The sequence below is a fragment of the Homo sapiens genome, chromosome 2 (assembly GCF_000001405.40).
Source record: "Homo sapiens chromosome 2, GRCh38.p14 Primary Assembly".
NCBI lineage: Eukaryota > Metazoa > Chordata > Mammalia > Primates > Hominidae > Homo > Homo sapiens.
This window is the reverse complement of record NC_000002.12, coordinates 213,044,771-213,071,892: the sequence shown is the minus strand read 5'-3', so window position 1 is coordinate 213,071,892 and position 27,122 is coordinate 213,044,771. Positions and strand designations below refer to the sequence as shown.

The following is a 27,122-nucleotide window of genomic DNA, read 5'->3' as shown; positions in this document are numbered from 1 at the left end:
GTTTTGCTTGCATTGTAGGGCTAAGTTCATAGTGAAAAAAGACAATTATATAATTTTGTTTATATTTGTCGTGGAAACAGGCTAGGAAGTATTAGTGAGAACTACCTGTTGATACTGACATGTATCTTCAACAGTAAATATTCTGCTTTCTGATAAAGGGATATATGGTAGGGCTACAAGTCCTTAGTTCAGGAATTTAAGTGAATTGCTGTGAGCCTTTCTTCTTCCCAATTCTGTGCCTTTATACTTCTCCTTCCACACAGACAGACACTTGTAGTGGGATTGTGATCTCTTCTTGTCTCCACCTAATATAAACAGAATATGAAGTTAGGACTATGGCTTGATTGTTACTGTATCTTTAGTGCTTAGCAGTGTGTCCGGTACAAAAGTCTTACCCCATAAATATTTGTTGAGTGAAGGAATGAACACTCACATTTTATCACCTTGAAACCGGGCGTAAAAGCCCAGTTCTTAAACTCACTCGTTACATTCAATTCCTTTTCTCTGCAGATTCTTTGCATTTTTCTGTTTATTTTGTTGCATTTCACTTGTTTGCCTATTACTTAGTAAATGAGCTTGTGTTTTTAAATGTTGTATATTTTTATTCCGTAATATTCAGATATCAGTTACTAATAAATATTTGTTTGTATAGTATCTAGTAAAATATAAATGGCCCCATTAATGGAAAAAGACTTTGAATTCCCATATTTGTAGAAACATTTTCCCCCAACTTGGTTTCTTTTATAGCCAGTGATATACATAATGAGGGTATTTGGCTGGTTCAGACACACAGTATTATTCAACATTGTGATGTGGTCCTGATCCTCAGCTTCCTTTTGTATAAAATGAAACTAATACTTATTGGAAAGATTTGTTTGGTAATTAAATGGCTAATGTTGAAGGACGCCCAACTAAATGCACCTTCACTAGATGTTAGTACTTTTCCCTCTCTGTTCATTTGTTCCTTCCATTGCTACCAATTTCACAAAACTAGCCCACAGAATAATAAATTCCTGTGGCCCTATTGGCCCTGGATTTTAACCTTTAAGGGCCTTAAACCTTTCTTTTCCAGCAGTATTATTTTGAGAGACCTGGACACCGTCGTTGACTCTCCTGTCTTTTCCTTTTAGTTCCTCTCAAACACTGTATTTTGCACTGAGACCGTGCTCCCATGTGGCGTTCTGTACTGTCCTTGTCTGAGAACTGCTTACCTTGTTAGGTTTGTCTGTATCCCCAACCAGACTATAAGCCTGTCTTGTCTAGTCCTATAGATCCAATACTTAACAGTGTCTAGTGTGTATACTGTACTCTATAAATTGGTATTTGATAAATTGATTTGCTTATTTGTTTTTCTGTTATTATGGGAAAGTGATGATGGCAAGAGGGAATCCTGAAAATCAGTGAATTCCCTGATCCTGGAATACAATCCAGTGACTTCCCAAGTCCACACTCTTTATATATTAGATGTAAGTAGTAACAGGAGTTTTAATATGTAAAGGAAGAAGCTAAGTTTTCTATCTGTAAAAGCTATTCTTCAGGATTCTATTCCTTAATTTAATTTTGCTATGTAGTTAAAGATAATGGCATTTAAAGCTTAACTTGATCTCTTAATAATGGGCATCTCTTTCCCATAACTAAGCATAGTTAAAATATGTCCTGTGTTTTCCATATTATTTGAAAAACTATCAGGATTTTACTGTATTCATATGAACCTTGTAAACTGATAATTCTTGTGTCAGCTGGAAGTTTAAAGCTTCCTGAGTTTAAGGAAGTTAGTTCAAATTTCTGAAAGGAATTTTTTTTTCCTCTGAGTGTGAAAGTCAAACCAGACATTTGAATATAAACTTAATCTCAAAATGCATGAAAATAATGGAGTGTGTTAGGTGTTTATGGTTAAAAATATCGCACAATTAAAGGCAGGCTACCTTGCCACTAGGTAAATTAGTCATGCAATAGGTTTAATCTACTTAGAAATAGCACTGTGAGGAAGAAAATAAAATTAATTCAGCTGATAGTGTCAGATCATGGAAAGAAAAGAAAAAAACAGCTTACTCTTGCCAAAAACATATTGCTAACTTTGTTCAGGTTGCAGCTTTTGTGTTTCATTTAGGTTTCAGCTTGTCCCAGGAGGTGTTGCTATACTGTGAAGGTGTTAGGCAGTGTAGTAATGGAACAGGAGATAAAATGGAAGGCACATAAAATGTCTCATCATTTGGACCTTCCTGGAGAAACATAGCTTGAATTTCTGAGTGGTCAGCTTGACATTTTAAAGCAGTGAGAAGTTGTGTCATTATTTCTAGAATACTACAGTAGTTAGAGGAAAAAGATTTAAAGTTCATTGCGGTAATTGCTGTCAGGTGCTTTTAGTAAGCATGTGCTGCCTTGAACAAAGGCAACCTGCTAGGAGTGTGAAAGAAGACAGTGGGCTTTGGAAGATGAGAGTGACAAAAACGTAGATTCGGGAATTCTTGTGCTCCTGAAATAATTGCATTCATTTTAAAGGTGGAAGAAGATTAAAATAACTTTTAATGGTTATTCATATGTTTATAGCCTTTGAGAAAACAAAGACTTTAGGCTTCTAAAACTAATACCTTACATAATTTCAGTAACAAAGAGTACAAAACCTGGTGGCTAGCTTGTCACAGGGATCAAGGTAGCTGGTATCACTAGGCTAGGCACAATCCATGTGAAGTGCTGAGGTGATCCCTACTGTAACAGCATTCCCCTCCCTGGAAACCTGCAATTTGCCTCTTAGTCCCAGATGGGGAGGAAACTCCCAAACAGCCGCAAGCCATACATAATGGCAGGGTTCACATCCTGACGGGGACAAAGTAGAGAAAAAGAGAAATTCAGAAGAGTCTTCATAACATTATTTGAGTCAAGGACTTTATGCTTTTTGTGAAGGTTGTAGCACTTCTTTTTTCTTTTTAAAGTTTTGAGTATGTTGTGTGTGTGTGTGTGTGTGTGTGTGTGTGTGTGTTTTCTCCCTCCTGGATACTAGCCAACATTCAACTGAAGGAAACACATGGGGATGGCACATTTATCACATTGCACTATCTTTTGCTTAAGTAGCTAACATTTATTGCTTAATAAAGAACATCCTGCACACATACCAACTAGGTTTCCAGTATATTACTATGCATATGTATAAATGTACATTCACATTTAAACATGCTTTTACCTATGACCCTCAGAAACACCTGAACACATAGAATTAGGCATGCCCAGACGTTTCAAATATGTGATCTAAAAGGTAGATCTTTACCCCAGATTTTGTATAAATAAATTTATACTATTACTTATAATAGTGACCAATAACTATTACCAATTACACAAATTGTTATTTATGGAAAACTTAAAGAATAGTCTGGTTGTATTCTGTAATCATAGATAGATACCATAGATTGAAGGGACCTTAAGATCCTTAACCTCAGGCAGGTAGGCTTTTAAGCATTTTACCTGCACAAATCGGTAGCATTACCTTTATTTCACAGAAAAGGAAGCTAAGCCCCTTAGAAGGTAACTTGTACAATTCCAGGTGACATAGATGTGATCTTCAGTGCTAAATCACCAGTTAATAGAAGAAATAAAACCCAGTTTGTATAAATTTTGATCTACTTACCTGACCAGAAAGCATCAAGTATTCTAAAAGAAGTATTTTTAAATGGATAAGGAACTCTCTTACATCTGATTAATGTAATATCATACATACACAAGTGTTAAAAGAAAGCCATTTATATGCCCTTTAACTATACCTTATATGTCTGTCTACTTTGCTTTCTATGGTGCATAGTCATCACTTTAATATGTTTCACATACTTTAGTTATGAGCTTTAGAAAGCTGTTTAAATGGTGATTTAGAAATGGAGATAACTCATTGAATAACCAAGACTTCAGTTCACAAATACAAGGATGGCATGCTTAAAGTAACTACTTACAATGAGAAGTTATCTTTTTGAATTAGTGATCTTATGAGAATATTTGTTGATTATTTATGCTCTATATTTTGCACTGAGGTTTTATAGTAGCTGAATATTCTGGCATGGTGGTGTGGGGCTTATGAATCCTTGTATTGCTCATTAAATATTTTACAGTGCATAGTTGCTTATATATATAAAAAGACAGACACATATATCTATATGCATACCTTTCACTAGTGCCATAAAAGCAGGGAATGTATCTGTCTTGTTCACTACTGCTTCGTGGTGCCTGGTACAGAGCAGGTGCTCAGTGAGTAATTTTGAATGATTTCTTAAGAGTTCTTCATACTTGGTTGTCCTATTAATAAGTTAACAGCATTTGTCTTTTGAAATTACTGCCATTCAAGCATTAATTCTCTTGTACTTTGCTCAATTTTAAATGCTCTGTGGTTTTAGGATATGTTCTATTGTATATTATCCATTGAGTGTATCCATTCTGGAAAAAATGGTGTCATTCACAACCAACATGTACTCATGCCTTTTTCCTCTCTTCATGCTTGCCCCTATCTTGAGTGCCATCTAGTTCTTCTTTTATATAAGTCATATCCAACTTTTAGTACTATTTTACATGCCATTTCCTTCATAAAGCCTTCTGCATCTTCCCTGTACTTCCATGTAGTAAACATAACCCCAGATTTATGTTTGTTTGATGTTGATACTTATGAAATGCTTTCACATAGATATATTAATAAGAAGCAAGTAGTTCCAAGTGTATTGTTTATACAATTTTATTTAATACTCAGGACAACCCTAGGAGGCAGCTGTTGTCATTATTTTGATTTTATAGATGAGAAAATTGAAACTTAGGTTTCCTAAGGTCATGTGACTTATAAATGAACGAACCTGGCCTTAAACTCCAGGGTGCTGGACCTAGAGCCCTTGCTCTTTAACCACAGGGCTATGTTGCTTGCTTTAAGTGATTGCATGCTTTTCCAGTCTTCACAGTTTTAATGTAGAGGATATTATCTTCACTTCATACAGTAGGAAGCAGGGAGCTAGCAAGTGGCTTCCAACATTTATATAAGTAAGCATTTAAACATAGATGTTATAATCTGGTATTTCCATGATTTAAATACTTCATAGGATGCTTTGTAAATGTTTTTGCCTTTAATTATATGCATTCTGTAATCCTACTTAAAATGCTCATTCATTCATTAGGAGTAGAAAACTAGGTATGAGCATTGTAAAGAAGAAGAACAACAACAACAACAACAAACTGCTGCTGCTACATTGTGGAAAATAAGTATCTGGCACTGATCTGTCAAAAATTGCTTTAATTCCCCTTAATCACCACAAGTTTTCTCTTTCTCACTACTTGATAGATCTTACTGGTTATTAATTTCTAACTGACCAATCCTGCATCTGAGGGCCAAATGCAGACTCTGTTTATTTGACTCAGACCAGTAGTACAGTGTTTATGGAAGAACAGCAGGGAAAGAACTTTTGTAGCCTCGATGTCAATGTGTATGACCCAGGGATGTTTGAACCTGGGGTATGGAAACCTGTTGGGTTCCCCTGTTGCTTCACTTCAGAGACCCGGTAAAGCTGCTGAAGTGTGTTGCACTGCTTTGGCTCCTCCCTCCCTCTGTTGCCGTTGCCCAGTGATAGAAATCCTGCTCTCTTCCTTATCTCTTTCTGTTGAGCCGCCAGCAGCCTTGCCTTCTGACCTTGTTTAAGCGTCCTTAGTGACCTCTGGGAATCCTTGTGGGTCCCTTTGGGAACATACCCACTCAGCTGGATTTTACTTCTTACAGAAGTTAGGTTAAGAATTTTGTACTGCTCTTATTAAAAAGATAATTTCACAATGTAATTTGCTTCACAAGCCTCTTACAGTTACGTTAAGCAGATGGTTGCCAAACACCAGTTCAAAGTAGATTGCTCTTATATGAAATAAAATCCACGCTCAGGAAATTTGGCAGTGTAAGCTGGTCTTCTTCCAAAACAGGCTTACTCAGACAACTTTCTCTTTACCTCAGACTGGCAATCTGCTACACCTGTATTCCACTGTGGAGTAAAAAACATATCAGATTGTATACACTGATTCAAAGGTATCATTCTTTAACATATTGACATCTGTTTTTTTTCTTTACTATTACTAGCTACTTTGCTTTTGGCATCATAGGGAAATAGCAAGAATTTGGTCATCAGTTCTGAGTTCCAGTCACAGCTCTGACTCTCAATATTTGTATGAATTGAATGTGTTACTTCACTGATTTTAAGCTTCAGTTTCCTCATTTGTAAAATGAGGATAAAATTACGTACTTCATGGAGTGGCTATTTTGATTAATTCAGTTGATATATATAACGCACCTAAATTCTTTCCTGTCATTAATGGTTCTTTAATTAATGTTATTTTGATATTGATGATTTGTGTTTAAAACCTAAATCTGTATTGTTATATTTATTCATCATGTGTATTTGATTTATGTGAGGTCTTCGTAATTTAAAAACAGAAATATCATACGTAAATCAGCAGCACTGGTTCAACAAATACATATTGGGTGCTTTGTATGTGTAAGGATAGAATGATTTTACAACTATGAATAAAGGCAGTATTTCCTCTCAAGGACCTTACACTATAGGCAGTGTAGAGGTAAGGCAAATGTTCTGATGAAATCACTGTAATGTAAAGTGAAGTAAATTTCATAGGAGAAGAACTTTTTGCTCAGAAAACACTCATGAAAAAAGGTAGCAGATAAGTGATCCTTTAATGATGTGCTAATTTTTATAGAAATAGGGGAAGTATCCCAGAAAATAAAAGCAGGTGCTTGAGAAAAAACAAAAAAACCTAGTAAGTAGAGATGTATAAATGTGTTTCTGGAAAACTGAGGACAGTGGTTTCACTGGAAAAGGCATGAGTAACTAAAAGACTCATAGGACATATGGCTGAAGGATATGATGGGACTACACTTTGGATATTCTTAAATTCCATACCAATACCTTTGTATTTAATGTGTAGGCAGTAGGCAGTTCTTGAAGACATTTAGAAGAGTAATATGAACTCTGCAATAGGAAGATTAATCTAACAACTGAATATAGATGAATTGGGGGAGAAGAGTGTGGCAAAAGTTTGAAGGAAAGAGACCAGTTAGAAAGTTTCTGATATTGTTCCAGGTGAGAGGTCATGGGGATCTTAAAGTAGTTGTATTGCCCAAGAAGATGCAAAAACAGATGTGCAAGACATAGAAGATATTGAACCTTTAGGACTTGGCAAATGAAATCATTCATCGAAAGGTTGGATAAAGGGATAGACTGCTGTTTGGCTGAGGCATTTCTATTTAAAGTAGGTTTATTTTCTCTGCATTGTATAATTCTCATGAACTAGTTGTCCGCCAAAAAATAGAAACTCCGTCTGTGGGCCACAATGGTGCTACTGTGTTAGCTAATAAAGGTGTGTATTTTGATGATGTGCACGCTATACAAGGTTTCATGGAGTGTGCAGGATCATCAGGAAGTTAGATATTTTGCCCTCCATTCGTTTACATTTTTTTTCCATGAAAGTAGGGAGGAAACTTTTTGGTCTTTATTTTGTTGCCAAGATCTGTTTAAATGTAGATAAAATTCTACATTACCAACTCACAGGTGTGATTTATCTTTATATCAATAATTGACACAAGACTGTCAAAACTTGACCACAAAGGAAATCCTGAAATGCTATCCTTCATAAACTATTGGTTTAGAGATTAAAATTGATAATATTGACTTACTGCTCAAATTGCTGCCTTAACCTACCACCGATAATTCATAGCAGGACAAGGAGTATAGAAATTAATGTTAAAAAAATAGAGAGGAGGAGGAAAAGATTGAATATTGACAGATTCTTCAGCAACTAGGTGTACTGCATGGACATACCCTTGACAACAGCAAAGCAAATTTTAAAATTATGAGGTAGTTGTTTTGAGTGAGACATGCATCCCAGTTTTGATAGAAAGTCATAATTCAATAGTTTGGTTTATGGAAACTTAACATTTCTTTATCTGACCATTCGGGACTTAAGTTTCTGGTATCCTCTTCAACTGGTGGACATAGTTTTACAGCTACCGTAAGAACTGTTTGCCTATGACTGATTTTTGTCCTAAATATAATACTAATGTAAGTTACTTGTTTCATTGGAGAGCCAGTATCATGTCATAGAAGGATGGATAGGCTACGAGTCAAAAGATCTTGAATTGATATCAAGTTCACATTTACTAACTTGTATCCTTTCAATAGCCACTTAACAACCATGCTTCAGTGTTTATCTGTGGCTACCCTTCCTACAATGCAGTCATTCTGAGTATCAAAAAAGAATATGTCAGTATTTTATAAATCATAAAAACTGTTTTATTTTTCTATTATTATTATCATTACTATTATCATTAAAAGGATTCTAAATCTGTAGTCTACCAGAGATTATTTTATCTAGCCTGCTGTTTTCAGAAACATCAAGTGTTATTTCCCCCCATATTTTAGATGGTACTAGTGGCTGAGTCAGGATAAACAAATTTCCCAAGGTCCCATAACAAGTTAAATGGCAGAAGAGGTGGTAGAGACCCTGGTTTTCTGCCTTCAGGTGCAGGGTAACTTTACTACACTATTGTTGGAATAATAACAGTATTTCAGAAATCAGTACTGTCTTGATCTGGAGTAACTCCAGTGGGTTTAAGAAATACATAATATAGCTATATTGAACAGAGAAGAAAGAGGATGGAGAGAAAAGTGAGGTGATGTGATATACAGATTTAGAATGCTACCCAGAAGTGGCTCAGCTGCAGCTCAGTGACACCAGTGTCTGGACATGTCCCACCGTTTATAAAACAAATTCTTTAAGGATGTTGTGAAGAAACTGTTTTTCAAGACTCATCCATTTATTTATCCACAGTCAAAAGGAACAAATACATTGCATGAAATTTTGCTGAGGATATTAAAAAATGATTGCATATACCTTTGTTGTGGTTTTACTTTAATTGTTTAGACTGTTGGTAAATTCTTAGTAAATAATTGGGCTTTACATCACAGTTTTGAAGGCACTTTGTTTTCCTAACACATTATTTAAACAGCTGTTGGGATATTAACATGGATTTAATCATGTTTGGTGTTTCTGTTTAGAAAGTTTACGTGAGAGAGAGTTATATTAGTGTAGAAGCAACTTCAATAAATTATTAGATAGCCATATTGGTTCAATTAGTGTATATAACACCATTTCAAGTGTCTGGCATAGACTGGGAAATGTTCATGCTTATAAGTTATAAAATCCCTTAAGTGCCCACTTGAATTGCCAGGGAACAGAAACCAACCATATAAAAAGTCCACTTACACATCACACCTGAAATACACTTTTTTTCATTTGGTAAGTAAGAATGGTATTTTACTATCTTCTGTTCCACACTGTGAAAAAAATATTTAATTCCCATAATATTTACTTCCTTGAAAAATTAAAAATTAAAATTAAAATATACACTTTGGCAACTAAACAAAAATAAGTCACCAATTTCATAGAAATTAAACTAGAAAGCTTATTTTATACTCTATAAGATCAATAAATACATCACTTTAAATAGAGAAAATAAATCATAATCCCTCTGCATTATTTTCCTGGTTAGGAAACTTGACTAACTTGTTTGTAGATTAGTAGAATCAGGTCATATTAATAATAAAGTTTTAACTTGTAGAAAGTTTAATATGTATATTTAAAAATGTCTTAAATTGATATTTTCAGTTCTCATTACTATGTATGGTGTTTCCAGAACTTGACATTTAAAAATTATAGCAGTTTGTGAAAATAAAATTCTAATGATGAGGGTAGAATTTATTATCTTAATTTGAAAATTTAAAATTAATATATTTATCATGCATATAAAGTGATCTTTTTCTTAAAAATTTTAAAAATTGAGAATTCATATTATTGAAGAAATAAATTTCCAGACTGCAAAATCATATGCTGTCTTGCACAAATGGGTGACTTTGTGAAGTTATAGCATAAAAAGTAGTAAAGTAAAATGTCCAGGTTTTAAAGAAGTGCCTTTTTACATTTATATATTGTTCAGTTCAATAAATTTATTATGTAACCAAATTACATATGTTTGTAAAATATTTCCTGTATTCTAACTCATGAACTCTTTTATGGCCATTTTTGGAGTACATACTCTTGTGTTAATATGGGTTACTTATTTAAGTTAATAGTATTTTTTTTGCTTTAGCTTTAAACCTTTACTATTATTATTGACAAAGTATTAGGCAAGTAGTAGATACTTAATAAATATTTACTGGTTTAATGATTTTTTAAGAGAATTCAGTGCTGTCTTTGTTCTTTATTGGCTAAGGTAGATGAGTTCTATAAATGAATGTAAGGTCTACAAATGTATGTAATGACTGTTGTGCATTTTATTATCCTTTTCATTCTTATGTGAGTAAAATTTGAGTTTTGATTTTTTTTTTTTACTTTTTCAAGTACAATGGTGGCAAAGAAAATGTCCATTATGACATTGATTGGATTAAATTAATTTGTTTTTAATAGATTCACAAAATAACATGATTTTGCTCCATTTGGTTTTAGATTCTACTTTTTTTTCACAATGATCTATACCTGTTTACCTGTGTAAAGGCCTTTATTCAGTTATCCTTTTATTATCATATTAGTGAATTAAAGGCAAGTCTAGTGTAACTGTCCATTCACTATTATGTATCTGGAAGCAATGACTATTGTGAAGCCTTTGATTGTAGAGAGCCTAGAATGGTTACTGAAGGAACTTTTATAATTGAAAATTGTTTGGCTTGAAATTCACTTTAAAAAAGAGTATCTGTGCAAGTGTCTTTACTTCTTGTAATTTGTAAGTGGAATTGCTTAAACTAGGTGTTTTTATGGCATCAAGATTACATTCTAGTGTTTATAAATAGTATTTTGAAAGCATAAAGAAGAAGAGGGGAAAAGCTTGAATTCATGAAAATGTTTATATCCTGAAGCTTTTTTTTGTTTGGAAAAATATGTGGCACTTTTTATCATGAAATATCTTCAAAGCTTTTTCTACATAAACTTGACCATAACAGTTTTTTTCTATTAACTTATTCTTTCCTTGTGTTCACAAACCTGAGTCTACTAAAATATGGATGTAACAGTTATAAATATAAATGCTAAATAGAAGTGCCATTACAACTGAAGTATAAGAAACATCTTTATCATCAAAACTAAAATCTTGTCTCATATCCCCTTTTCATTGCTAACAGTTTGTTCTGGCAAAATTCTTTTTAAATTAAACCATTATTGCTTATTAGCATATGATAACGTGTGTACATTTCCACAGATATGCCCAAGTTTTACATTCTTTATTTCATATCAGAGAAACAAGCTTGAAAAATAACTCTTGGTATTGAGAATTGTAACAGTGATTTTTCATTTTACTCAAATGAACAAGTTTTCATCTTTATAGCCCATTTATGAGGATGTCTTTGTGTTACCAAATTGTAAAATAAATTTCATATAAATCTAATTTCAAATATTTGAAAAGTAAAGCACTCTGAATATTATTGTACAGTGGTTAATAGTTGTAATTCAATAGTTGTGGCATCATATAGTGTAGCTACGAATATTATAACAAAAGTCTTATATATATATAAGTTATAATTTAGAATACACTTAAGTTTACTACTTACATTTAATCATTAATAAGTTAAAATATTAGGTGTTCTACATTAATTGCAAACATCTTAAATAGTGAAAATAAACCATGGGAGAGTTTCTATGAGTGGAGAAAACTTTTCTATGTAATAGTTAAGATTCAAAGAATAATTGCTTTTATTCTAGAATTTCAACCTAATTGTAGTGAGATGGGTGAAAGATTAGTTACACTGGGATTTTGTTTGTATATATGCATCATGTAAATGCAAAATTTAATGTATGACATGCGTATATTAAAATGTGTTGCACTTTATTGATTTACTGTATAAATACAGCAAAATTATATACATTCATATATTCTAAACATACTTCTTTATAGTATTGTTAGAGAATAGATTACTACGGCTTTACTATTTCTTGTCTATTTCGGTTTTAGCAAAATATACATTTTTTCTGTATTTATTTGTAGTATATTCTTCTATAGATAAAAAGTTCTAACTATATTTGTAATATCTCACACTTTTAAAAATCACATTTTTATCTGTTTCATGTTATGTTTTAATTTCCCAATTAAACTTAGTAGTGTAATGTCAGTCATATTCTTCATAATTCTGAGCTATTTTGAAATTTAAAAGACTCATAGTTTCAGGTTCTAAAACTACACTTTCAGTTATGTATTTCTTCATTCCTGAAATGGAATTCTGATACACTTTATGCACACTAAGTGGTATAAAGTCATGCTGTATAAAGTTACACTTTTCAGTGATTTTCTTTCTTAATTTTAATTTTAAATGGCAATTATGAATGGAATATAACACTATATGGGATAACCAATAGCATTTCGCATTGATTTTAAAAGTCTCCCTTACCAGAAAAAATACCATGGAAGAATTACTTAGATTATGGAAAAACCTGTTGATGCAAGATATAGAATCCAGGAGCCATAACTGAAGACTTTAAAAATTCAACATGTGAAATTAGCATATATGCCAAAAAATGCCCTTGAGTAAAGAGATAAACCAAAATGTTTGCAAAAGATATCATAAACACTGGGCTAAGTTCCTTAATATATAAAGAGCATTTAAATTCAGTGAGAAAAGACTGACAACCTGATAGAAAAATGGGCAGACAACTTTGATAAATAATTCTGAGAAAAAATAAAGAACGTTTCAACATGGAAAAAGATGTCTAACTTCACTCATAATTTTAAAATGCTTTTTAAAAACCATAATAAAATACCAGTTTTAATCTGTCAGATTGACAGAACTATGTGGTATTGTAAAATAATGTCTGTAATAGCAAGAAACAAGAAATAATTTCAAATTTCCAATGATTAACTGGATGAACAAATGATGCTAGATTTATAAAATGGATTCAGACTATTTGGAATTTGAAAATTATGATACTGGTTGCTTTTGAGATAGGGCCTGAAAGATAGTGAGCTTGGTTACAAAAGAACTTCATATGTAATTTTTATTCTTTATGTTTTTTGTTTTTTCTTTGCCATGTTTATGGGTTCTTTAAACATACAAAGCAAGTTTAAAGCAATAAAACTCTTAAGTTAGTAAAACATCTCAGTGAATACTACTTGAACATCTCCTATATACCACAACATTCTTGAGCATGCTGGCAATATAAAGATGGATAAAATACTGTCCCAACTCTTTTTAAAAACTAGTAAGGGAGTAACAATTTGTAAATAGGGTAAAACTCAATATAGTTGGTACTCTGTTAGAAATGGGTCCAGGAAGGATGCATATCACTTTGTAGATCTCAGAGTAGTTTATGTACCATAAGTTGATTGATCTTCATAAAAACCCTATGAAATAGAGCACTATATATCCAGGAAAAAAAAGATAAGCACATTTCCTGTATTTACTCATTTAATGCTCACAGCAACCATAGGAAGTCGGTACCATTATCATCCCCGTTTTATAAAGGACATGGTGAAATTAAACCTAAGTTCCTCACTATCCTCGTTCTTAATACCTAAACTGTTCTGCTCGAACTTTATTCAGTAATCTGAGTTCATCTGTACTTTGCAAACATGAGACTCAGTTTAAATAATTAGTTCAAGATTATAATGCCAGTACTTTTCTACCACAGAGCCATTTTGATAGTGCACCCTCTTGTGATAAGTACTAATGACAAATCACAGACTGTGTGGTTTCTCTAAGAAAACAACGGCAATGAAAAGAACTTACTTCCTTTTTATGAAAATATTTCCTCTAATCAAGTAGTACCAAATAAGTTGTTTTGCTTAGTAACTTTGATATGACTTCTTAAGAAATTTTCTATATTACTGGATAAAAAACTGATACTCACTTAAAGCTTGTTTCTGCTTTATGAAAAGACTCTGTCAGCAATCCAGAATGAAGGCTGTGCTAACAAAATTCCAACTTTTCTGTGGGATGATCCAAAAACAGCAAACAGAAGGCATTAAATTTCTTAACAGTGGCAAGTGTGTACATGCATGCTATGCCATTACTGTGATTAGCTGCTTTTTGGTGTGCATAGATTAGAGTTGGAATACTTTGATTTTCAAACAACATGTTCCATAGGTAATTTTTTAGATAGAAAAAATAGGCAGAGTAACTTAAGAGCATGTGAGGTCTGTGTACTACATTTATATAGCTCGAAACTGAATATATGTGTTTAGTTTGATTTTAGAACATTGCCTTGACAGTGTATCTTCATATGTCAAAGACATTTGCTGGATTAAGATCCTGAATTGTTTCTCTTGCCCTGTTCAGAAGCAGGTTTATACAAGTACTCTGATGTGAAACAGAGAATATGAAGTATACATAATGATCATTAAATTAAGAGGAGGCATAGTTCAGTGTGTTAAGCAATATTTAATCTTGTTTCTTCCATAATCCTATCTCAGTCCTAGGAGTCTTAGTGACAGACTCAAAAGCCAATACCAGGATTATTAAAAAAACTTGTTTAAAAAGCAAATGTCTAAGTGAAAGAAACAAATATGTGAGGAAATAGTCATTCTGTTTACCTAGAGTTTTCCTGAGCTATCTTCACTTCCATGACATTTCACTAAAATATCATAGAACACAGTATGTATTAACATGGCATTCGATGATGAACTCTATTCTACTTTATATATCATTTTCATCCATTTAGTAGGATGACAATGAGTAGAAAAGAGATGTAGGTGAGAATACATAACATGTATTTAAAATTTATTTTCTTCTTTTCAAATTACAGCAAATTCAGTAAAGCTAGAAATGCAGAGTGATGAAGAGTGTGACAGGAAACCCCTGAGCCGTGAAGATGAGATCAGGGGCCATGATGAGGGTAGCAGCCTAGAAGAACCCCTAATTGAGAGCAGCGAGGTGGCTGACAACAGGAAAGTCCAGGAGCTTCAAGGCGAGGGAGGAATCCGGCTTCCGAATGGTAAACTGAAATGTGACGTCTGTGGCATGGTTTGCATTGGGCCCAATGTGCTTATGGTACATAAAAGGAGTCACACTGGTAAGCAGCTGAAAGAATAACCTGATGACTGCCTGTGACATCTGATGTTGATATTACCTGACATCTATTCTCTTTCCTTTTTATTCAGGGGTGGCAGTGGTGAAAACTACCTTTTCAGAATTCTGCTAGTATTGGATTGCAGAAAAACAGAGAGTAGCCTGGGTCTTGACTTCCAGCCTTCAAATCTGAATAGCATATCAGAAAAGAAGTTTGGGATTCAGTTTCCACAGTTCTTAATATAGCAATAATATGATAAGGGTTCAAAAGGTATAGGAGAATTTCATTGTGTAACTTAATCTTTTTGTATTTCTATACATATTTTACCATACCCATGGGCAGGTAATATAGTTTGCTAGATAAGAGTTTATACTACAAAATGGCACTCATGCATTTATGTAAGTGAATAATTTTCACTTTATCCAGTTAACTCCTTGAAATACAATTTCTGATTGATCTCTGCCTATCCTACCACAGGTCTCAGTAGCAGGCAGGTGCTTTTGTAGTTCAGGGATGCTGCCATCTTTCTGTAATTGTTGGTTATAACTCCTGCAAGGATATATGTAGGATTGAATATGACAAATAGTGGCTGGTGTGTAGGTTGGAATATGTAATTCTGGGATAGAGTGAGGAAAAAGCCCACAGATTAATTCATACTATATTTTTAAACATTTGAGAGGTGAAAAGTTTTTTGTGAAAACTAACCAAATGAGAAGGTCTTATTTAAATCTTTTTAAACCCTTTGCCAATTTTTTTTTCTTAAAAAGCAACAGAAATGAGATAGTAAGTGGTAAGCTAGGAGGATCGTTGACTCTTAACAAAAAAGATTCAAGTTCATATGAAAATTGGTTTAATGGTAATGATGGCTTTCACTATAATGCAAAGTAGTGTAGTGTACAGTAAAATATTAATAACTAATATTCTCAGAGTTTTAAAATATACTTTTTTGGAAGAAATATAAATCACAATAAATTTATTTAAAAGTTTTATTTCTAAATAGTTTAACAATTACGTGCTTAAAACATTAAAGATACAAGGTAGGTCAAAGTCTTTTTTAATACGAACCTTTCATAATACACATGAAGAAATAGTCAAGTGATTTGTCCATTATCCCTTATGTAGGTAAAGGCATTGCTGAAGCTAGAACCAGGGTTTTCTGATGCCCATACTGGTTTTGTTCAGACACACTATTGCTTGGTATGTCAGTATACCAAGAATTTATTATAAGGTATGACTGTAAACTAAGGCTGATATCTTAAAAATTACAGTGAGAAGTTATACATTAAAATCAGTGTTATCATAATCAAAATCATCAGCTTTAGAACATATATACTTATTCCAATCATACAGTCAATTACATTTTGCTTTTTCGTTTTTTATCTCCTTTTTAAACAGCACGATGTTTTAAAAATATTTATATTACTAGTGTAACTTTTTTCTTTAATTTTTAAGTGTCTTAGAAAAGGTTGAAAGATCAAGCTTGGTATCTATTTGATAAAAAGTAAAGGGAAAAGACTATAAAATAATCTACTTTTCATCTACGCTCATGAACTAATTCTAACGACAGTTCTAAAAACAAGTTCCACAAAGTTATAATATATTCATTATGTAAGAGTGATTGTATTAAGGAAGATAACACTCATTCAAATGTGTAACTTCTCCTATCTAGTAAAATACAAACAAAACACAGTCAGTCTAATGGCTTTTCAGTTGAATTGCATGCAATGTTAAATTTTAAGCTAAAAAATAAACTAAAAACAGTATTTAGAAGATTTTTAATTGATCTTTTATGTTCTGAATTAAGAAAATTCAAAGAACCAGAGTACAGTTTTTAGAAAATTTAGGTTAATCAGTGATTCACTGTAGCTACAATAATATTCATGAGGATTGTTAATTTGTAAATAAAATAATAATTATATACCTACTCTACTGTCCTTTTGTTATTTACTAGTGTGGTAGAGTTGAATTATTTTATTTTTGAAAATAATCTAATTGGCATAATAAAGTTTATAAACAGTTATACAGATTTCCACAAATCCTAGGAATACGAGACTCACTCAACTCATAACAGCAAGGAGTATGTTAAAGTACACTTGCAACACTATCTTTTTTTGTCAATCAGTGTTTATTGGAGCATTGTGCAAATTATTATACTTTCTTCAGATCTAGATTTTTCTTAAAGTTAATAGCCATTTACGGAGAAGCTGTGATACCTGTCATGCTTTGTCAACTTTGAAATTGTGGACATGATATCATTAAACTAGACACTTCAACATATTTCTGATGATCCAGTTTATACATCTGAGTGTGTCCTGCCATTTTCAACACCACTTTAATACCATTTTGAGACTAGAAAGTCTATTTGCATTTCTTTAATTTAAACTAGATTGAGAAAAATGTAGTCAGAATCTAGTCATTAGCCAAATGTTTTCTCCTTAATACCATGAACTAGTCTGCATTTTAGAACTTCCCACTCTTATCAATTGTTTATCTCTCATATTAAAGATACTGTCTTAAAACCTTATAATGCCTTTGAGAAACATATATTTTAGTGTTTTTAGTTCATAGAATATCTAATATAATTTTTTTTTTGAGTTGGAGTCTTGCTCTGTCGCCCAGGCTGGAGTGTAGTGGTGCAATCTTGGATCACTGCACCCTCCACCTCCTGGGTTCAAGCGATCCTCCTGCCTCAGCCTCCAAAGTAGCTGGAATTACATGTGCCCACCACCAGGCCCAGCTAATTTCTGTATTTTTAGTAGAGACAGGGTTTCACCATGTTGGTCTCAAACTCCTGACCTCAGTTGTTCCACCCACCCTAGCCTCTCAAAGTGCTGGGATTACAGGCGTGAGCCACCGTGCCCAGCCTCTAATATAAAATTGATAGTGAAAAAAGATGCACAACCATCCAATTCATTACAATATCATGGAGCATCAGATCGAATCCACTCTTCTTCTTTCTCTGTCATACTCTACTAAAGTACCAATTGCAGTGTCTTATTAATGGTTTCATTTTATTGATTTGGTATTGCTACTTTAGTAAGTAATCAGGTAATATTGTCATCGGATACTCCAGGCACTCTTCACTGGGAATATAGAGAGAAGAGTAAACAAATAGGGAAAGTAAATCAATTCATGCATGAACACATATCGATTGGACATTATACATATAGAATTCCCTAATTTTGCCTCTCCTTAATCTACTCCCATCTTGTAACTCAGTTTTCAGCACCGTATTTTGTACATTGCAGCTTTGTGCAGCCATCCTCTTGCTCAAAGGCACTCAGCAGATGCTTGAGATTCTGCATATTTGTAGGTTGTTCCACCCAACATAGGAGCACCCTCTGTCTTTGATTCACCAAAGCAAGTTGATGCATATATATTTGCATTTTAATTGAATATTTAAATGCAGGTCTAGAAATAGGTGTTTATGAAGGTACATAAAATATTGAAATATAAGATATTCCATAATAAAAATAATATATAATCTCACCCAGTCAATAAATAAAAATGGACCAGTAGATTGTTCTATTGTATTTAAAAATAAAAACAAAACAACAGATTGAGATATGGACATGAAGGACACATGACCATATCTTAATTATTTTCCTCGATCCAGTTTTGTTAGTCTAGATTTTTGTGCCTACCAGGGGAAAGATTAGTCATTATGGTTATAACAAACTACTTAATGTTTTCAGCTTGGATTGCTCCATTAATGTAGTTAGTAAATTTGTGAGATTTTCTTAAAATTTGCTTTGATATACATATGAAGAACATGATTAATATTTTTTTCAGACAAAGTCTAAACTGACTCAAAAAGGGCACATTGATGCAGTCCATTTAAAGAACAAATTATTTACAAGAAATAATTGAGATATGTTGTTTTAAAGTTTCATAGACAGTATGGAGTTTTTGCATATGTACCATTTGCATAGAGAAAAGATAGTTAACTGAATCTTTTACTTAATTATCAGATAATTTTACACTTATTCTGTAATGCCTAGGCCAGGAAATACCCCACGACATTCAATAAAAGGGTTGCTAATGTTTTATAGAAATAACTTTATCAAAAATTGAGTCAATTCACTTTTTATTTGTTATTAGACAGATATGGATATTACTTCTATATTTGGATTATTCCTGGAATATAACTATGTATACTTTTAGAAATCTCATAAATTACCCTCTGTTTTAATCCTTGTTTCTAACAGTATTGTCTTTGAGGGTTTCATTATGATTCCAACTAACTTTAGTTTGGAACACAATAAAACAAGTGGACTCTTGAAATGATAATTATCTTTTCATATAATCAAGACATCAACAGGAGTTAGGCAAATAAAATGAGGAAAGCCATAAAATTAGTATCCAAATGTAAAAAGCATCTATCAAGACTTATTCATAATTCAAATCAATATCTCCCAAAGCCTTATCTTATTGAAATTAAAATGTATTATTTTCAATGCCCCTTTTCTCTTACCAAAAAAAGGAAGAAAACTATTTACCTTCATCATGCCTTGTTCTTCTTTACTTCCCATGTCCTTGGGAACTTACCAAAGACTTCCATAGTATGACTTCCACACTCAGCAACAGGACAATATTTCCAGATATACCTAGACTACCTTTTGTTTATTCTACGCCATTTGGGGATGATCATATAAATTCAGAAGTAATTTCTTATTAAAAAGATTTGAAGATATCTAGAGTATTTTGTAAATGTAAAAACTAAATTACCCTTTCATTAATCGCATAAAACTCAATTAGGTGAATTTTAAAATTCTTTTTAAAAAAGATATTGTTTCATTTTTAGACTAGCATTATTTTTGAAGAATGAACTACTCTAAATTAAGGATTTTGAAATATTTCAACTCAAACATTGTAGGAGGTTTAAAGGAAATTGGAGTCAGCATGCTATAGGAGTATTATCTAAAGGCAGACATGACTTCAAATTGTTCACCACACTTAGTAATTTAACTCTTGTAAAGTTATTGTTAACGAATTTGTTACTTGCTTGGGAAACCTTACGTAGACATATTTTAAAAGTAAAATCAAATTTTTGGAGTGAAAAGTATAATATATATTTGCTATTTTCCTTTTTCTTTAAAAATTTAATTTGTGAAAGAAGTGCCTCCATCTTTCCTTTTATTACTATGGCAGGGGTTGGGAGTGGAAAATTCTTGATTTAAAAAGTTGCAGCCTGTGATTCCATTAGGAAAGAGAATCAAATAATCAAGTTGTATATTGTGTGTAAAAGTAAAAAAGATCTGCCAAAATTCAATTTATTTTAAAACCTTATGTTGGAAGACTTTATATGAGGAGATATAGATCTTACCAGGTTAATCAAACTAAGAAGATACCACTTAAGGGAACTTTAACATTACAGATTTTTTTCAATCCAATATTATCAATATAGGACCTCTTGTACATGTAGCTCATAAGAGCTCCAGATTTCTTAAGAAAAAACCTTAACCCCCACCACACCCACAGATTACACCTTTTTGGTATGTACCTCATTAACTCCCAAAACACTAAATACTACAGAATTTGAGATATACTTGATCTACCAATTTTTAAATTTATCTAGGTTTTATAACAAATCTATATGATAGAATTTTCAATAGCTGCTGCCAGAAAGTGACCATAGTTTATCTTATTTATACCTCTTAGCTTTCTTTAATAAAAGAATCATTGAGTTTGCATTATGTCAAAGGGCCAAAAAACCTTGAGTTTTTATTATTCATTATTATGTGTGTTTCAGTTAAAGATATATGAAACATGACATTTCAATGTAAGCTTTTTGAAAAACTATTAAAATTAGAATCATCATCTAACTGCAGGTAAAGAAATGGTCCAGTTCAACCAAAAGGGAATTGTTTTGTAATGTTCTTTTTATTCTAAACTTAGAGCTTTAGTATGATACATTTTTACTGTTTACTTATATTTGAATTTTTATTTTATTTCATGTATATCTTTAGTGATAGGTGAATTTAAAATAATAGCATTTTCTTTATGGTTTGATAAGGCTATCAATTTGATCCTACTTGCCAGTTGTACTGCTTCATTGCGTACATGTTTTTATATTTGATGACATTGGTGAGTCAGTTGATGGCAACAGACCAAACTTATAATTGAGGCTTAAAAACTTCATAGCAATATCAGTAATAGAAAAACGGGGAGAAAAGATTCCTTTCAAATAATAAGTTTCACAAAAAACATGTACAGGACATGTCTGGATGAATAATTTTATTTGGAAATTTTGCTAAAGGTTTTACTATTAGTGACCAGGAGAATCAAGAAACCTGGCCCGTATTTGAAAATCTTGTACTAATGAGCTTTGTAAGCTGGTTCATTTGCTGTACCTTTTAGTTGCCCCTTTCCATATCAGCTAAATGAGGGAATTAGACTGAAGGTCTCTTTCAGCTCAAATTTTCTGCCAATTTTAAAGAGATAGCATGGTAAAAGAAAGAGAACAAGATTTTGTAGCCAAACTGACCAGGTTCATTTCTCACCTTGACTACTTTCTAGCTCTGTGTAACAAAATAGTTTGATCTATGGACTTTAATTTCTTCATTTGTTAATTAAAATTAAAACAACCTAATTATTGTCATTGTAAGAAAGGATTGAAATATTCTATGGAAAGCATCCAATTGTGTGTAAGGCCCTAAAGTGACAGCACCTCATTGTTCAACCAATGATAAATGCTATTATTGTTATTCTTCTGAGTCAATGATAGGACTTTTGTCACATTTATACATAAAAGGGGAAAGATCATTTGATGTAAAACTTAAGACTTTGGTAACTGTATTGACAAAGCAAATTCTGGGCAGATAAATGTTTAAAAGACTTATGAGGGAGATGAACATTTTTAGCATAGAGAACTGGCTTTGGTTAACAGTGGATGGCAAATTAGTCACTTGCACATACCCTAGTTGATACTTCCCATTTCTTCTCCTTACTGCAGGTGAACGCCCCTTCCACTGTAACCAGTGTGGAGCTTCTTTTACTCAGAAGGGCAACCTTCTGAGACACATAAAGTTACACTCTGGAGAGAAGCCGTTCAAATGTCCTTTCTGTAGCTACGCCTGTAGAAGAAGGGACGCCCTCACAGGACACCTCAGGACCCATTCTGGTAAGTGTCACCAACTCCTTGAGAAGAAAAGTAAAACAGGAAAACTTAGAAGAGTACTATTGAATGATAGTAACATGGCTTTGTTATGTAGTCGGTAATGACCAAGACAATCTTGTTATTGGTGTACATTAAATAATTGATAAATCTTGCAGGATGCATGTATCTTTCATTTTTAGACTTTACGGCTTGGCAGAAAGGAGCACTGTCAACTGAAGAGTATCTTACTTCAATATATTAGAATAAGAAAACAGCTGTTATATATTTTCTATAATTTTAAAATTTTACAATTAAGAATGCAGTCATTATGGTTAATCCAAGATAAGTGAAGATCCAGTATAATATCAGTTATGTTTCGAGTTACTGTAGAGGAAATGAAAACTGATTTTTTTTGACTGATACAGTGCTCAGGCTGGGATCTCTGTGGAAAATAAAATTGTTTCTTTTAAACTTGAAAATATACTCAGAAAATTGGCTTTTCGAGTATTTTATATTCTAATTTTAACTCTCCTTGTATCTTTAGCTCTCAAACAATAGTCATTGGGTACTCTGAAACTTTGCTGTGTTTCATAAATCATTTAAAAAATGTAGAATATGACAAATTCTTGGGAATAAAAGAAAAAAATAAATTTAATGTTTTTAAGAAATGCCAGAATATAACACATAAAAGAGAAAAGAATGATCAGAAATCCAAATGAATCTCATTTGACTTTTAGCATAAATTTTCATAACCAAGAAGTTAAAGGTGGAAAATTAATATAGAATACTCTCAAGCTAGTTTTATTTGTTTCTTCTGTTCATAATGACATACTAAATTTTAATTTTAATATGAAGATATGATGGAAGTGATATTTTAATCTACATTGACAAATCGTATTAGAGAGTGCTGAGGTTGTGAGATAATGCTTATTGTATTATCTCTCTTTACATTTTTCCTTTTTATCCTTAAGGCTGTACTAAGTTTTTAAACATGAATGTGAATCGTGTAAAACTATTTTAAACATTAACTCTTAAATTTGGGGCAGTTACAAAAAAATTAAATTAATGCAAACACGAAAACAAAATATTTTAAGTATATATTTTTCTTTCCTCCCTGAGTTAAAGGAATTCACTTACTTCCAACTACAACATTTTATGTTTTATTTTAAAATTGTGCTATCAAAATTATATCTTAAAGCAGTGTTTTCTTATGAAAAGTTCTTTATTGAAATATACTTCTAGGACATGATAGGCATTTCCATTAGCTTGTCATGTACTCTAGCCAGAGTTAAATTATTATTGAGTTGTCCAAACATTATATAACAAATAGATCTTCGTGAACATATAGTTTTGCCTCAACTTCATGTAATAAATAACTTTAAACATCCATCTTATTTTTGTTGAAATCATGTTGTTTTTAATATCATGGTTTTGTGTGTACATATTATGTTATCTGTCTTCATAAACAAAGACATGGTCCTTATAACTGCCATCGTGCTCATTTTGCAATTTAGTATATCAAGTTATGATTTTTGCAGATATATAAATAGATATATTCAAATTGGGTAATTCAAGAGAGTTTAATGGAGTCCCTATTGGAGAGGGGGCATCCAGCTACTGCATCACCAAGAGCTGATACCAATTCAATCATGCTTCCAATTGGAATCTAAAATACTAGCCATCCCTAATTTTCTTCATAATAGATAGAACATAAAACAGAGTTGCTACAGTTTTTGCTCCTCTAAGTTGCCAGAAAGCTCAAAATTGATCATTATAGTGTTCTTCTTCCAATCAAATACATCTTCCCCTTACTCTTACTCTGTTTAGCACATCGGCTAAATAAGGTTCTTTATCTGATAGGTGACTAAAATTTTATAGGTTCTGAGTCTTCGGTGGTCCTGTCTTTCTTATATTACTATAATTTTTCAATAACCAAAATTATGAGGTAAGTATTTCTAAAGAGATGCCCCAGTAAATCCCCTGAGTTCCAAGCATAGTTCTTCTTGTCCTCATTGTATAGCAACAGCTCCAAATCATTCTGGTAGTCTGGAAAAATTATAAGCCAGTCCCTGTTTATTTAGCAGCTTGACATGCCCAAAATAGCTAGTGAGTATTCTCAGCTTCCAATACAACAGGACCAGATCTCTGAAACCTGGAGAAAACATTCTTCTTTTGGGAACTGAGATCTCCAAAACCACCAATCTGAAGGTTTCAGGACACAGAGTAAAAAGCCTTTAAATGGGTTATTTGATGTTATTAGAGTGGCCACCTCTACCTTAACCTCTTTGTTCTCAGACTCATGCCTTCTGGCTATGGAGGAGATGATGTTGGCCATATATAATATCCTGTAGAACACACCCAAACTCCTCCCAGCTGGCAACCATACATGAACCACTCCTTTGGTAGGCCATTTCACCACTCCATGTAGCCAGCTGATTCTGTGTGGTGATACATGGGGTATGTATGACCCATGCATTCTATAGATTTGCGCTAATTGTATTTGTCTTGCCATAAAAAGGAGTTTCCTGGTTGAAGGCAGTATAGCAAGGAATACAAGGGTAATTGGTAAGGCATTCTGTTAAATCCATATTTGAGGGAGCTTGCAAAAATATTGAAGAGAAAGGGAAGGCATATCCTATTAGGATATATTTCTGCCTCTTCCATGTTGGAAAGAGTCAAATGTAACCTGCCTGCCACTACTTGCTTGGTTGATCTCTCTCAGGAATGGTGCCATATCAGGGTCTCAGCACTGGAAAATTGTGAGCTCAGCAGTGGTGGTAGTTAAATCAGTCATAGAGAAGAGGAAGTCCATGTAATTGAATCTGTTCATAGTTTCTGTGTCCCTACTCCCATTGTCACTTTGTACATTGGCCCACTGAGAAAGTACCAGGTAAGCCTGGTAAAGAGTCTGAGATTCATGAGATTACCCCCTTCAGATTACTAACAGCCTTCACTACAGTGAATGCCCTCTGGAGAGAATTTACATAGAATACCATATCATTACATTTTGTACCAATTCTGAAGGATATATCCTCATAACTCTTCCCTAGACTTTCTGTCACCAGTCGTCCAATTTTGTTCTTTGAAGTCCTTGACCATATGGCCATGCCATATGTCATTACCTCAACTATCTCTTCTTCCATGCAAAGTGTGCAGTTAAATGTACTAGCTGAATGAAATTCTGGCTGCTGGTGGGATAGCCACTGTATTTCAGGGCCCTCTCCCTTAAGTGGACCTGTAAACACCATAGTCATAGCTGGTATTGAATTCCAGACATTCTATTTACAAACCAGATCCACACTGTTTCATCCTCATCAACTAGTCACTGAGAATACCCCATGAGGCCATACATACGGGTTGAAGCAAAAAGATTGAGAAGCAGTAGTAGCAGGTATTAGGGACCTCTGAGCTACTTGCTCATACAGTATACTTGGGCTTCCTCAACTAGCATAAGAAGGCTGCAGGGAAGGAAAATATACCAAGGAAATGCTGTTGTGTACATTTTTGATATGTTGAATTAGATAACACCTAGTTCATGATGCACGGTTTGGGCTACATTGTCATTCCGAGTCCTATGGCCCAGTACACAGTCTTAACCAAAGTTCATTAGCAAGTAAGGAGTGGCTTTTCAAATGGAGATTAGTTATTGTTAGAAAACTGCATGTCTTTACTATAAAACCACGAGGGATCTACACACTGAGGCTTCCATTGACAGAGATGTCATACAGCATCTCCATTTGCCACAGACATTTCCAAAAATCATTGCATCTGCTGAATCTTAGAGTCAAAAGTAGAGGGAGCTTTCATCATGGCAGGGTATGATGTAGATCCTTTTCTTGCCCCAGGCTGCTCTCAAAATGGACAGCCTGTGGATTACCTAGTATATGCACCACAGAAGTATACCCAAATATGGTCTATGTTGCTTCTAAAATCTAGAGAGGCCACCACATTTTGTGCTTCATTTTCACGAAGGAAGGTGCAGGGTGCAGCAATTTCTCACTTACAATGGAGGATCTATTTCAGCATGCACAGATCAGTGGCCTGTAAAATTTTACCAATGCTGAAAGTCCCTGAACTTTCTTGGAGTTTATCTCCTATTCTATAGCATATATCTCTTACTGAGGCATCTCAGGTATTTACTATATCCTGCTCCCAAGTTCACTCAGTGTAATGTCATGAATATAATATTCCAGCTTGATGTTTTTTGGAATGTCAAGATGAACAAGATTTCTCCAGACTATGTTATGACAAAGAGAGCAGAGTTGACCTAGCCTTAAGGTAAGAGAGTAAAAGTATGTTGCTCCTCTAGTGTGAAGGGAAAAAACTGCTTCTGATTATCTTTGTTATACAAATTACCTTAAACAGAAATCAAGTTCATTGCTTCATACCTAGTGTCAGTGGCTATGTTAATATGCTCCAGTAAAGATTGTACAGCTAAAACTGCATCTACAGTTAGCATTATGAAATGATTAAGTCTGCATCAATGCCATGCCTTAGCCTAATAAACAGTTTAAATGGGTGTATAGTGTGAATTATCACCCCTAACATCTTTCAGTTTTCTGATGGTTTCACTACTGTCTGTTATTCATCCATAGAATTATTATTTCTTTTAGTTTGCTGTCTTGGGAGAGGTGATAGTTGTAGGGCTACGCTGTCCAATATGGTAGCCACTAGCCTCATGTGGTTACTAAACACCTAAATATGGCTAGTGCTACATGTTGAAATAATATTTTTTATTTTTCTTGTTTTTTTACTACAGTTTTATGTATATTAACTATACCTCAATGAAGTTGTTGAGGGGGAGGGAGAAGATACTACCATCCCATGTTTCTCTGCTTTCTCATCATTGCCCCACTACCAAAAACTAATGGTCTTAGTATTGTCCATTGTATTTAGCATTGCAATTCTATAACCCTTCAAATCAGATTCTGGAGTTGGTCTTCAGCCTTATTTGCCTTGAGGCTTA

At 33.3% G+C, this 27,122-nt stretch overlaps 1 protein-coding gene across 30 annotated transcripts in view; it reads left to right on the top strand.

Annotated features, from left to right (window-relative positions):
- IKZF2 (IKAROS family zinc finger 2) overlaps positions 1–27,122 on the top strand; it is a 152,759-nt gene that overhangs the window by 80,564 nt on the left and 45,073 nt on the right. For 21 of the 30 annotated variants that reach the window (XM_047443725.1, NM_001371274.1, XM_011510812.4 and 18 more), the window contains 2 exons: positions 14,794–15,060; positions 22,013–22,180. In XM_047443725.1, the coding sequence (XP_047299681.1) occupies positions 14,794–15,060; positions 22,013–22,180 (435 nt within the window). The remainder of the gene's footprint in view (positions 1–14,793; positions 15,061–22,012; positions 22,181–27,122) is intronic. The other 9 variants (NM_001371277.1, XM_047443727.1, NM_001371276.1 and 6 more) reach the window with 1 other exon arrangement.